The sequence below is a fragment of the Homo sapiens genome, chromosome 7 (assembly GCF_000001405.40).
Source record: "Homo sapiens chromosome 7, GRCh38.p14 Primary Assembly".
NCBI lineage: Eukaryota > Metazoa > Chordata > Mammalia > Primates > Hominidae > Homo > Homo sapiens.
In genome coordinates this window covers 110,714,523-110,729,004 of record NC_000007.14, presented here as the reverse complement: position 1 = coordinate 110,729,004, position 14,482 = coordinate 110,714,523, and the positions used below count along the sequence as shown (strand labels likewise).

At 37.1% G+C, this 14,482-nt stretch overlaps 1 protein-coding gene and 1 long non-coding RNA gene across 13 annotated transcripts in view, besides 1 other annotated feature; both read left to right on the top strand.

Annotated features, from left to right (window-relative positions):
- IMMP2L (inner mitochondrial membrane peptidase subunit 2) overlaps nt 1-14,482 on the top strand; it is an 899,849-nt gene that overhangs the window by 833,488 nt on the left and 51,879 nt on the right. The window lies entirely within an intron of this gene.
- On the top strand, nt 1,832-5,330 carry LOC124901724 (uncharacterized). Its single transcript, XR_007060476.1, has 2 exons — nt 1,832-3,303; nt 4,414-5,330. It is a non-coding gene; the product is annotated as an uncharacterized LOC124901724 (long non-coding RNA).
- Nucleotides 9,803-10,588: an enhancer, noted in NCBI's record as "OCT4-NANOG-H3K27ac hESC enhancer chr7:110358473-110359258 (GRCh37/hg19 assembly coordinates)". NCBI's record gives its function as "activates a minimal SCP1, AML or CMV promoter by ChIP-STARR-seq in naive and primed H9 embryonic stem cells {active_cell/tissue: H9 hESC(naive and primed)}" and the evidence as "EXISTENCE:reporter gene assay evidence [ECO:0000049][PMID:30033119]".

Here is a 14,482-nt window from a genome sequence, read left to right as displayed (position 1 = left end):
GCTGGAGAATCTCTTGAACCTGGGAGACGGAGGTTGCTGTGAGCTGAGATCGCGCCATTGCAGTCCAGCCTGGGTGAAAACAAAACAAAACAAAACAAAACAGACTAATACAACTGTTTATCCCACTTCTACCATATACTATTTGTATTACCATGGACAAGGACCTTAAGTCCTAGTTTTTCATCATTTAATGGGGGTAATGATTGTAGCCACCTCACGAATATGGTGAGAAACAAATGAGGTAATATGCACAGAACCCATAGTACAGTGCATGGAGATAGGCATTCAGTACAAACAATACTTTTTTGAGACTGGACTTATTACTGTCCTTTGCATAGGAGGGGGATCAGTGGCAATATTTGGGTTTGTTGGTTTGAAAGTAGTTAGGAGGTGATTAGATAAAATGTGATAATGGTGAGCCTTCTGCCCTGATTATTCTTTGCAGGTAAGGTGGGTCAAAAGGGGCCTTTAATATTGTTATTTTATTTTATTTTATTTATTTTTTTGAGACGGAGTCTCACTCTGTTGCCCAGGCTGGAGTACAGTGATGTGATAATGGCTCACTGCAACCTCTGCCTCCCAGGTTCAAGCGATTCTCGTGCCTCAGCCTCCCGAGTAGCTGGGTTTACAGGCACACACCACTATGCCCAGCTAATTTTTATATATTTTATAGATACAGGGTTTTGCCATGTTGCCCAGGCTGGTTTCAAACTCCTGAGCTCAAGCCATCTGCCTGCCTTGGCTTCCCAACCTGCTGGGATTACAGGCGTGAACCACCACTCCCAGTCGCCTTTAAGATTATTAATAATATTGATAACAACAACAACAAGCATGGCAGATATTATGTATGAATGCTTACTATTGGCCAAGCATTAAATTAAATGCCTTTGCATATTATTTAATCTTCCCATCAACATTATGAAGTATATATTGTTGGTACCCCTGTTCTTCAGAAGAAGAAATTGAGGCAAGCTCAGGTAAACTGGCTCCAAAGCCAGACTCAAGCTTCCTGTGCTGCCTTTTACAATGTTAACAGAAGTGAGCAGAATTACATGTGTGTGGGTATGCAATGCAGAGCTTGTTAGGTATGTAGCTGTTATGTTGACTTAGCACAACTTGTTAGATGTAATTATTTGTAAAAATTTACCTCATATCTGTTTAAATCCACTCGGTGAAGCAATTCTTTTCTTACGCCTTGATATAAGTTCAGGTAAGTCCCATGACTTTCCCAGACTCTCTTAGATAATAATACTCTCTACAGTAGCTTCGGAGGTAAGAATACGGATTCAATTTAATAATTTAAATATCTAGCTCATGTTATATTTAATATTCTAATATTTTTTAAAGTTAAAGCTTCTCTCCTTGAGGCAGGAAACCTGCAGTGGGGAAAGGATACTTGGTCTCCTCTCTCTTTCCCTACCTTGTCTTCTCCTCTACCTTCAATTTGCTAACATCAGTTTCTGACTCTTACTGGTTTGGAGCACTGGGAGGGAGAGGAGGAAACAGTGATAGGAAAGTTCTTCCTTGATAAGTTCCATAATGTTAGTCTAGCATTGGTGCTGTCTGAACTTGGAGGATTTTTAATATTTATTTATTTATTTATTTATTTATTTAGAGACAGAGTCTCACTCTGTCATCCAGGCTGGAGTGCTGTGGCAGAGTCTCGGCTCACTGCAACTTCCACCTCCTGGGTTCAAGTGCTTCTCCTGCCCCAGCCTCCTGAGTAGCTGGGATTTCAGGCATGCACCACCCTGCCCAACTACATTTTTTTGTATTTTTAGTAGAGACGTGGTTTCACCATGTTGGTCAGGCAGGTCTCAAACTCCTGACCTCAGGTGATCCACCCACCTCAGCCTCTCAAAGTTCTGGAATTATAGGCGTGAGCCATTGCACCCAGCCTGGACTTGGAGGATTTTAAAGCTCACTGACTTCTGAATGCTTTTATTGACTCTGCCGTCTGCAATTATTTAATGCCTAAGGAAGCATTTCCATTCTTGCTAATAAAGCCAATGGTCCCTCCTGTGTTTTTTGTTGAGATCTTGACCCTTTCCAGATGATCTTCTTTGACATGACCAGATGTGACCCCATTCTGACTCCTTCTTACAAAATGCCCACAACTGGTCCGTAGGGAAACACTCACATATTATGAACCCCAGAGTAATTTGGGCATTGGTGATTCCCCACTCAGCAAATTTCTCTTTGCTCCAGCATAAGTAGAGCTAGACAGTCACTTGGACTTTAGGTTTCTCATATACATGGGTCAGACACCAGTCTATACGCACATCAAAATGCAGGGGACACATATTAGGGATTCTAAAGAGGTTCTGTTGAAGTTTCTTTCCCCACGCTGAGGTGAGGAAAGAGATCTCCTATTCTTCAGAGCAAAAATCACAGCTTATCAATAACTTTTTCCAAATAAGTTCCCCTTTTTAATTTCAGATACTAGGACTTTGATGTAGGTATAGCATTTTAGAATTGTGTAACTGGTTTCTCAGAATCCTCCTTTGGAAATTCAACATATGGCCTTACACCTCTTTGGGAATGTGCTAATTATTGTCTTGGGGCTACAGCCAAAACTTCCATTTTAATATTCCATTATATATAATTATTACTTCTGGATAAAATCGATTTCCATGCTTTTGTGCACTTTATTTTCTTCTCTTTCTCTCCTATCAGAACAACTGAATTGGAGCCATATGGTGGGAAGAAAGGAGTGTTATATATTTCACATACCTATTTAGATGGTGAGGGAGATGTTCAAGGAGCCCAGTGTTTGAAGATAGCACAATCATTTATCTCATAACTCTTGATATGCTATTATTCCCTCCATTTGGGTTGGCCTGTTAATGGTCTTCCTTGGTGAATTTCCATATGAGAGGCAGTTTGATATAGGAGTTATGCACAGAGTCCGGGGTTAGACCATTTGGATCAAATTCCAGCTCCACAATTTATTAGTTGTGTGTCTTTGGGCAAGTTATTTAATCTCTATGAACCTCAATTTTCTTATCTGTAGAATGGGAGTAATAGTACTTGCCTCTCAGAGTTGTGAGAATTAGATGAGTTAATATATATAAGACTTTTAGAACAATGCTTGGTATATAGCAAGTGCTATGTAAGTAGTAGCAGCAGTAGCAGTACTTGTGATTACTAATACCACTGGTATTCATTCTTTAAGTTTCAGTTTAAATATTACGTAGTTTGTGAAGCCTTTTGCAATTCTCCCAATCAGAATAAACCAGCCTCTAATCCATGGACTCAGAATGAATGAATGGTCTACTGCCACCCTTGTCACAGGGGACCAAGGTTAGTGTTAGCTATCTACCTTCTCCATTAGCAAGTGATTATTTCAAGGCTATTGTATTTCTTGCTGAACACAGTGCTTAAACATAGTAGACATGATCAGCAAATGTTAGTTCTTTCCCCTCTTATTTTTGTTGAATGGTTGAATCTAACTCTTCAAATCTAAAAATGAATATATAGTATTTTTACAATATTATAAAATAAGAATATTCTTTTAAAAATTTGGATGTCGAAGGAAAATACCATGGAAATTAAAAGAATTTTAAATTAATTATTAATAAAATCTTTCATCTATTTCCAAAGGATAGGAGGCCAAGAAAACATATTTCATTTTGTACAGCTTGTAACAAAAGCCAAAATTTACCAAAATACTGATTTATTTAAGTAAAAAGCAAAATATTTAGAACAAGAATTTCTTTAGTAACTAAAATCATATTAATGCCAAATGAAAGCCTGGATTCCACTTTTCATACAAATTGTCGTTTCTGGTTTCCTGTCTGTAAAATCAAGATGGGCAAGTGTGATCCGTGTCTGAAATGCCTTTGTGGTGTCAGTGATAAGGTGAACTCTGGCATAATCAGTGTAGTTCCCAGAGTAAAGACTTTGAGGATACCATGACTAGTTATAACAAATCTGTTGTTTAGACAGGTACCGCTTCATTTTATCTGTCTATCCCAAGCGACTTAAAGCTTTGCTATTCTATACTCCCTCAGTCTCAGCCCTGTCATCCAGTATAATGGCGTAGTTAAATGAATTGTACTTGGAAATGTTTTTACTTTAGTCAAGGTCGTGCAGGTTTTAACATCTCACAGCCAATTCTTGATACGCCACTCACAGGTGTATGATACCCTTAATAGCAGTGATTCTTGGATGAAAAGGAGTTGACAGGTGATTATTGATGAGGGGAGGTTTAGTTTAGTTCTTGTGAACTTAAATAGTCATTTTTGTTTTAAACTGAGGAGCTGAGGAGCTAAGAACCATATTTATAAAAACAAATTTACAAAACTATTGGAATTATTGGAATGCCATTTTCTTTACTAAATCTGATTTTTAAAATATCTCTTTCCTGATGCAAAAAAAAAAAATGCTGAAGACATTTTCTCTTATCCTTAGCAACCTTGGAGAATCCACCTGCAACATTCCTCAGAGAAGCTGCAACATTACTTTAAAAGAAGTTACAGCAGTGCATACTATTGTTGCTTTCCTACAATGTAGCAAACAGAAACTTTGGTTCCAGAATGTTCCTGAATATAACACAGTAAAATTTCTTGATAGGAGTGCTTCACAAAAGATGTCATTGAAGATACCCAGTTTGGAAGTTAAGGCATTGGCTCTGACATTACTTTTGCCCCATCTAAGCTTAGTTTGGTAGAGTCATATATAGGGCAGGATCTAGCTAATAATTGTCCTTAACTCAAAAGCATAATCTTATTTCAGGTAGAAAGCCACACTAACTTAATTGCCAACCAGATAAATGGTGATCACTTGAAATCTGTTTTATACTTATAAATAAATCTTGAAATATTAATTATCCGTGCTTAAAAGATGAAATGATATTTTGACAACAGCCACAACTTGGTTCAAATGTCCCAAATGTTCTACAATATTTTGAGAGGTTGTTGGTAAGCAGAATTACTTAAGGAACAGAAAATAACTAGAAATGATATTGAAGCAACATAACAAAATTTAGCATAAACCTTTACTTTTATAATTCATATAAATTACTTATAAGCTCTTTCTATTAAGCATTTACAAATGGTTCTGCTAAATATTTTCTTAGCAATATTTCCCTTCTAAGTTCCTTTTGATTACTGTTCCGAGACATCTGTTCTTTTTTTTTTTTTTTTCCCTTTCCCTCTAGGTAAGTCAACCAGAGCAAAATATCTATTCTTAAGTGTGGGTATCATTTGAGACTGTAGTTGAAGGTTACATGGCATATCTATATCATTACCTCTGTTTTCTAATTCATTTGGCTCCATGGCCATAACCAGAGGATATAAAATAAAGGTTCCAGTAAATATCTCTTGAAACTGTGGATGTTTTTATTTTCTTTACAAACAGCATTTTATTAAGATATCTTACCACACATATGGCCTGTGTCTTTTTTCCATCAATCAATTTTTAGAACTACTACAATTGCTAATCAGTGAAGATTTATTTAGAGGATTAAAAAAATCAAGCCTAAAGAATGGATCACTATCAGTTAGCTACCTTTTATTCCCTTTAGTAGGAGAAAATTATATTGATTTCAAAAAATTAAAAACCAGACACTAGCAGGCATGTAGGTTTCTGTTTGCTTGTGAGCAAGATTGCCATGTGGCAGCTGCATCTCAACTGGAGGATCAAAAGCTTGGGTCAGGATTTTGCATCAAACTGGTGGTAGTTTATTCTGTTAGCTGGTGTGGCAGTGACTTCTAGTCGTCATCTTTGCTTGGAGGGGAATGTTTACACACATGCATAACTTCTGTCCCTATTGGAGAAGACTTCAAAATCCCAATCATAATACAATTTGGCATCCCCATTTATGGTCCAGTGACCAAAGTTTTAGACTATAGCTTGATGGCCATTTCATTATTCTTTATTACTTACACAAGAGTGTTTTTCATCTTATGGTTGGTATGTCTGTGTTTTATGAAATGCACTGCAATATCTTAGGTACAAGGGAATCTGCCTATTAAGGAAGACTTGATGATTGGTACATAGAACTGAAGACAAGTTTGCCGTGGTTGCCTGCTTCACAGCTTGAGTTTTTCCCTGCACAAATTGTAACCAACTCCAGATCCTCATGGTCTGAGAAGCATGAAAATGAAGAATAAAGAGCTTTTATTTTCACAAACTTGCTTCACACACACATTTCTCTGCTTCACACCCCTACCCCATCCTTCTAGCATCTGTATTCTCTGGTAATTATAGGAATGGTGGGGCTGAGTTATAATCCCTTGTTATTACAAGAAGGGCCTCTAAACCAGGGTTTGATTTCCTCACTGGAAATAATGGTATATGTTATGTTTCAAGGATGTCATTTAAACTCGTAATAACATTTACCATAGAAACAAAAATCGGCATATATTTTCACATTGAGTACAATGTATGCTATCTATTTGCTAAAAAGGAAATACATTGGATCCAACTTTTATGTGGAGAAAATAGATTGTATTATTTCTTAGTTTTCATATGAAAGAAATAATATTCATAGTAATATTAGCTAGTGTGACAGTGACTTTTAGCTCTAGACATTAGATGGGTTTTGAATCCTGACTTTGTCTCTTACTACCTAGGTGTGCACTGGCAACTTTTTTAACTTCCCTGTGCCTCTAAAAAAGGCAGAGATGGTACATCTCTTAAAGAGTGGTGGTTTTCGAGAATTGAATGAGATAAAAGTACTAAGTATGTATTAACTACTTAATGAATTCTACTATTAGTAATATAACCCTCAGTACTGTTCCCACTGCTATTACTATTAATATTGTTATTATTACATCCCATTACTCAACACCCTTCAGGTTTTTCATCGCTCCATCCCCACCCTATTCTGCTTTTTTGACTGTTGTCCTTATGTTTTCCAAATATTCCAAAATATTTTGATCCTATAGTTCATCCTGGAAATGTCTTCTTTCACACCTATTGACATCCTATTCATCTTTTAAATGCCAGCTCAAATGAACCCTCTCACTAAACCTTCATCAGTCTTGCCAGTTAAAATCAATCCTTCCCACAGCTGTGCTTTCAAATCCTTAGATTTTCACCTTTATTACAGCACTTCAATTCTGTCTTATCTTATGATTGTTTACAACTTTGTTCCTCTTTCTCTCTCTTTCTTCTCTCTCTTGTTCTTATCCCTCTTCCTTATATTGCAAAGTATTTGAAACACTTTCTTACTTATCTTTATCCAGTCCCCCTACATACAGTCCCTTCCGGTAAGCACACGAGTTTTCTATATGATCACCATTCTGTTAATACTTGTTGAATTAACATTGTCATTCAGCATTGTTTAGTAGCAAAGATTTCCATTCTTTGCTAGAAAAATGAAAATTAATGGTTATACTGATAGTTCTGAGGTAATTGAAGAGACTGAAATGTTCTCTAAATAATCAAATCAGAGTCAGCATATTTTAGAATTGTGTTTTTTTGTTTGTGTGTTTTTTTGTTTTTTGTTTGTTTGTTTGTTTGCTTGTTTGTCATAGTCTGTTCTTTTGCTTTTTGTCATCCAAGAAAACCTATATGATATTTTCATTTCCTATACATCTCCATGGTTCTTAGCTTAGATGTTTTCATTGGATAAACCATTTGCAAGGGAAAATTGCAATAAACAGTAATAAGAACAATAACAATAATATTAAAAATGTCCGGCCTTAATTGAGCTCTTACTATTTGCCATATACTGGCCAAACACTTCGCAATGCATTATTTCATTTTAGTCCTTGCAACAACCCTGAACAATGTGAGACTTGGGAAGGTTAAAAGTTTCCCAGAGTCTTACACATAAAGATGGTATCTGTCCCTTCCAGCTTGTCCCTGGAATGGGTCAGTGTCTGTCCATGCATTTGGTCAGTGTACGAAGCTACTCTCAGTGATGATACTAGATGTAGGATGGGTGTAGGATGGTAATTTCCTTGGAAGGGAAGCAAGATAACTCTTCCTGAAGCTTATTTTTGTATAACAGGCATATACTATTTTTATATATTGAATATTAATCTTGATGCTGACTGGGGAGGGGGTGGGGAGAAGCTGAAAGAAAGATGGAAGGTTAAGCCTTCCCAAAGCACCACTTGGTACTGCAGTTGCTATCAATCCAGAGGTATGGAGGAGAAATATGTGTTCCTAGATACCTGTGAATGAAAATTCACTTTTAAATTCTGCCTATACTGGAAAAACAGGTTGGCAAGAATCCCAAAGTGTTTCCTTGGTATTTTAAAAGCATAGGCAGAACCGCTAAGAGAAGTGCACTTAAACGATTTCAGAAATATTCGACATAGAATACTGAGTCTCCAAGGGTTATATTCCAATGAATAGAGACAGCTAATATAAGAACAGAAGGGCCCCAGCCAGTATCATATTCCCCAGCAATTAGTAGTAGAGCAAAGACTAGATTACATGTTATTTTCCAAAATTTAAATTGTTTTATTGTATGTACGTGAGACATCCTGTGGCTTCATTAAATTATTTTAAGATAATAATACTGACATAGCCGTTTTTACTTACAAACCTCACAAAGTTATGACAATATTCCCCTGGGGTGGTGAACAGTTTCATTTTTGTTTATATTGTTGCTTCAGCTCATCCCTTTAGTCCTCTTTTATTTCTTTCGCTAATTGTTACAACAGCCTTGAAGAAGAGCGATTACTTTCTACATAAATGTTTTGTTAGAATAATTACCAGGCTCAACCAGGGGCTCTGACTCTTTATCCTTTAGCTGACTTTCTAGAATAAATAGAATTATACCTCTACGTGTTATAAGCCTCTTAACAGCCACACCTTAATTCCAATTTGGGTACCTCTTAAATTTTGTTGTTCGTGATCTCTTGCTTTTGGCTTTGTAGTTAATGGCCCCTTACAGTGATTCTCCTGTAAGTTTCATCCAGTAACGATGATCTGTCCATGCTCCTCTCAGCTAATTTCCCGACATTATGAGATTTCCAGGATTTTAGTTGGAATACATCAGGTCATCCCAAATTGTGGTTTTTAGACTTCAAACACTAAGATGTAAAATAACTCTTGAGTTTTACAGCTGTCAGGAGCAAGAACATATTGGATCGGTTTAAGCCAAAAATATTTCATCTCCAATTTGATTTACTTGATATTTTGGCTAGAAGTACAGAAATGTTATAAATAGTGGGTGGTGATTTACAATGTAACTACATAAAAGAGTGCTATAATTCAGAACCACAGGATAAAGCATGTGATGAACTCTCATTATTGTAACAGGGCCTGAATTGACAGCTTCTTCTCATTTAAAGCTGTTTATTTTCTGCGAAGATCACAGAGCAAGGTCATTTGACAATGCAGATGACATTTTGCTTCTTTGATGATTCCTTCAAAGATGTTCAAGAAGAATAAAGCATCTAAAATTCTATTGAGACACAAAGCTGTTATTTTATAAACATTTCAAACTTAAGAGAACTTCCAATTTGTACAGTGCTAAACAGGAAAATATTAGGATATATTTTGAGAAGTACATTTTTGTATTTTAATAATGGGGTTTTTTTCCAGAGCACAATAACTTCATTTGACTCTACAGCTTTTTAATTACCTGTTAAAAAAAAATCCTGATCAATTTTCTATGGTACCCTTGGTTGTGTATTACATGAGTAACTAAAATTAAAATTAGTGAGAAAGGCCTTTTTTCTTTTCACCTTGAAATACCTTTTCCTGTAATTATGGACTCTAAATTTTACCTTCATGTTTGCTTCTGCATTGACTCATCCATGTACCACAAGGCCTATGTCAGATGGTGCATGAGACCAATTTGTAACAACAGTCATTGACTTTTCCTTTATTCCTATCATTTCTGTTTTCACTCATGTTCAGTCCAGTGTTTGTCTGGATTCAGATCTGATTATCTTTGTTTTGAATCTCTCACCTTAACTTTCTGAGCTACATCATTAATCACCCGATTTTCCTTATTTCAACCTTCAGTGTTTCCTAAAGGCAGAGTTTTCCTAAGTTGTGTGTTCTGGAGCACAGGCAGGGAATAGGTTGGAGGGGGTTACATGCATGTCTAGAATATTATGTCATTCCAGCAGGAGGACCCCTTGATCTAGTCATTTGCAGCTTCAGCCAGCCTCATTTGTGTATTCCAGTGTGCCAGACAAATATTAGCATTTTTAATTTGTGCCCTGAGTGCTCAAAGGTATCTTCTAGCTCTTGCTGCTTCTGGCTATTTCAGGTAAGCACCTGAGCCAACCTCTATCTGCATCTGAGGCTCCCACCTCAGTTTGGAACCACACCCAGCTAAATCTGCCTTTTATGATTCAAAACCATGATCTCTTATCCTTGAGGCTCCCATACTCCTTTTGTCCCTCTGATTCCCCTTGCTGTTCAAATGCTAAAGCGCTTCAGTTATCTCCACCAACTTAAACGATTGCCAACCTCCTCCCAGGCTAGCTTCCAAGTGCTTTTAACTCCCTGGTTTTTATCCATTCTATCATACTTCTCTGCCAACAGCTAGCCTTAGACTAAGTCTGCTCTTTATTTTTTGGTTTTTATACTAAAAACACTGAATGCCACCGAAGAAAACTCAATCATTGAGAAGATTAGTGCAAGCAACTAGAATTTATTATTTACTCTTCCATTGGATAGCAGTAGCTCTTTTCACATATTCTTGTTAAACTCCATAATCTAGTGCCAGGGTTTGCTCCAAATATCTACCACTCTCTTCAGAATTCCTACTTCACTTCTAACCCTTTTAAAAAGATAGCAGCATTGCTACATATTGAGAATAAGTGTTCTCAAACTTTCTACTTTTACACCAGAAATCATGCCTGTATTTCCTCTTATTCTTACCTCCTTACAAATGTAAAAGAGAGAGATCACCACCTTATATCATAAATCTGGGGGTTATCATCATCTCTTCATTTACTTTCACTGCCCCAATTTAACATTCTATAGATAGAGAAGTCCCATTTTTGGTCCTAAACTAATTCCTCCATTTCTGGTTTAGAACTCATCTCCTCCATGTCCCAGGGACCATACCTTATCAGTCATGCCCTTTTTTGCTTCTTGAATTTCTTCCTTCCTTTGGCTTCCTTCCCTACATATAAACCTGCTTACATCTCTCCTAACTTACAAAAAGTGTTCTCAATAATACTTCCTCCTCTAGTTTTATCTATTAATAATTCCTGCTCTTTGACAGTATTTTTGAAGGTGAAAGCGGTTTTCAACATCTCCACTGCTTCATTATCCATTTGCTCCTCTATCCATCTCAATCTGGGTTCTACCAACAAAACTCCACAGCAGCTATTCATCATGAGGTTTTTAATGACTTTCTAATTGCCTAATCCAAGGACATCTTAATGCCACTATAAGTGATTCCTTCTTCTTGAAACTCCCTTTGCATTTGGTTTTCATAACATCACTATCTTGGTTTGTTTGTTCATTTATTTAACAAATGGCCATGTACTGTGTTCCAAGTAGAGTAATAGGTGCTATGGATATATACAATGGCAAGCAATACAAGTACCTTCCCTTTGGGTGCTTACACTTTGAGTTGTTTTTGTTTTTGTTTTGTTTTGTTTTGTTTTGAGACGTAGTCTTGCTCTGTTGTCCAGGCTGGAGCGCAGTGGCGCAATCTCAGCTCACTGCAAGCTCCGCCTCCTGGGTTCATGCCTTTCTCCTGCCTCAGCCTCCCAAGTAGCTGGGACTACAGACACCCGCTAATTTTTTTTGTATTTTTAGTAGAGATGGGGTTTCACCGTATTAGCCAGGATGGTCTCCATCTCCTGACCTCATGATCCGCCCGCCTCGGCCTCCCAAAGTGCTGGGATTACAGCCATGTGCCACCACGCCCGGCTTGAGTTGTGTTTTAAACTGAGCCTTTATAGTCTACTTGGATGCTCTTGATTGTTAAAATAAACCCTTAGTTGATGCCAGACAGTAATGCTCTATCCGCTACCTTCTTCTTCATTCCAAGTTGTCTCCTAGGTAGACTTACCCAAATCCTCTAATTATCTTATTCCTCATATTCTTATAACATTCAGATATTTCTTCATTCCAGACATCTATCATGAAATGTAATTCCACATTTCTAAATGCTTACTTCTTCTTTTAGGTTTCCAGTTTCAGTGACTAACACTATCATTTTTTATTAGAAACCTGAGAATTGCTTTGACTTTATTTTTCCTTCTCACTTTCAATCACATATAGGAAGTCCATATTTAATTAGTCAAAACCTTTGACAGATTATATATCCTTTATCCATAATATTTCTGACAACCCTTCACTCTTTTCAGAGTTCACCATTCCTTTCTTTACCAGAAATACTGGGATTAAGCAGTGACTATCTGATCACATGCAAAGAGAACCTCATCAGGCTAACAGCAAACTTCTCAGCAGAAATCTTACAAGACAAGAGAGATTAGGTGCCTATTTTCAGCATTCTTAAAGAAAAGAAATTCCAAACAAGAATTTCATATCCTGCCAAACTAAGCTTCATAAGTGAAGAAGAAATAAAATCTTTTTCAGAAAAGCAAGTGCAAGGGAATTAGTTACTATTACACCAAGTCTTACAAGAGACCCTTCAGCAGGTTCTAAACTTGGAAACAAAAAGAAAGATACCTGCTACCACAAAAACACACTTACGTACATAGCCCTCAGACCCTATAAAGCAACCACACAATAGCAACTACAAAGCAACCAACCAACAAACTTCATTATAGGATCAAAACCTCACATATCAATATTAACCTTGAATGTAAACAGTTTATGCACCCCACTTAAAAGGCACAGAGTTGCAAGGTTGAATTAGAAAAGAAAAACCATCCATCCCCTCTCTTCAAGAGACCCATCTCACCTCTAAGGATATCCATAGTCCTTCCATTTGCACGACAGACAGATCTTTTCCCAACCCTTTATTTTGGGGGTTGGGAAAAGATCTGTCATGCAAATGGAAAACAAAAAAAAGCAGGGGTCACTATTCTTGTATCAGATAAAACAGACTTTAAATGAACAACAGGAAAAAAGGAAAAAGAAGGGCATTACATAATGATGAAGGGTTCAATTCAGCAAGAAGACTTCACTATCCTAAATATATAAGCACCCAACATTGGAGCACCCAGATTCATAAAACAACTACTTCTAGACTTAGGAAAATACTTAGATAGCTACTCAGTAATAGTGGGAGACTTTAACATCCCATTGACAGTATTAGACAGATCATTGAGGTTAGGTTAGAAAACTAACCAAGAAACTTTAAACTTAAGTTTGATACTTGACCAATTGGACCTAACAAACATCTACAGAGCGCTCAACCCATCAATCGCAGCCTACACATTCTCCTCATCTACACCCCGAACATGCTCAAAGACAGACCACAAAAAAGTCTTAATAAATTCAAAAAAGCTGAAATCATATGAACATACTCTCAGACCGTAGTGGAATACAAATAGAAATCAGTACCAAGAAGATCTCCCAAAATGACAAAATTACCTGGAAATTAAACAATTTGCTCCTGAATGATTTTTGGGAAAAGAATGAAATTAAGGCAGAAATCAAAATATTATTTGAAATAAATGAAAACCAGATACAACATACCAAAATCTCTGGGATGTATCAAAAGCAGTGTTAAGAGGAAAGTTTATAGCACTAAATGCCTACCTCAGAAAGTAAAAAATAATTTCAAATTAATGATATAACATCACACCTACAGGAACTAGAAAAATAAGAACAAACGAACCCCAAAGCTAGCAAAAGAAAAGAAATAACTAAAATCAGCGTGAAAGTGAAAGCAATTGAAACCCCCAAATCCAAAGAATTCACAAAACCAAAAGTTGGTTCTTTAAAAGGATGAACAAGAGCAATACACTGTTAGCTAAATTAACAAAGAAAAAAAGAGAGAAGATCCAAATAAGCACAATCGGAAACAACAAAAGTGCCATTACAACACATCCCACAGAAACATAAAGCATCCTCAGAGACAAATATGAACACCTATATGCACACAAACTAGAAAATCTGTAGGAAGTATATAAATTCCTGGAAACACACAACCTCCCGAAATTGAAAACAGGAAGAAATTGAAACCCTGAACAGACCAATATCAAGTTCCAAAATTGAATCAGTAACAAAAAATTGGCCAATTAAAAAAAGCCCCAGAGGCTGGATGCAGTGGTTCACGCCTGTAATCCCAGCACTTTGGGAGGCTGAGGCAGGCAGATCACTTAAGGTCGAGTTCGAGACCTGCCTGACCAACATGGCAAAACCCTGTCCCTACTAAAAATACAAAAATTAGCTGGGCATGGTGGCAGGTACCTGTAATCCCAGCTATGTGGGAGACTGAGGCAGGAGAATCGCTTGAGCCTGGGAGGTGGAGGTTACAGTGAGCCGAGATCGCACCACTGCACTCCAGCCTGGGTGACAGAGCAAGACTCTGCCTAAACAAACAAGCAAACAAACAAACAAACAAAGCTCTGTACCAGATGGACTCACAGCCAAATTCTATCAGTCATACAAGTAAGACCTGGTACCA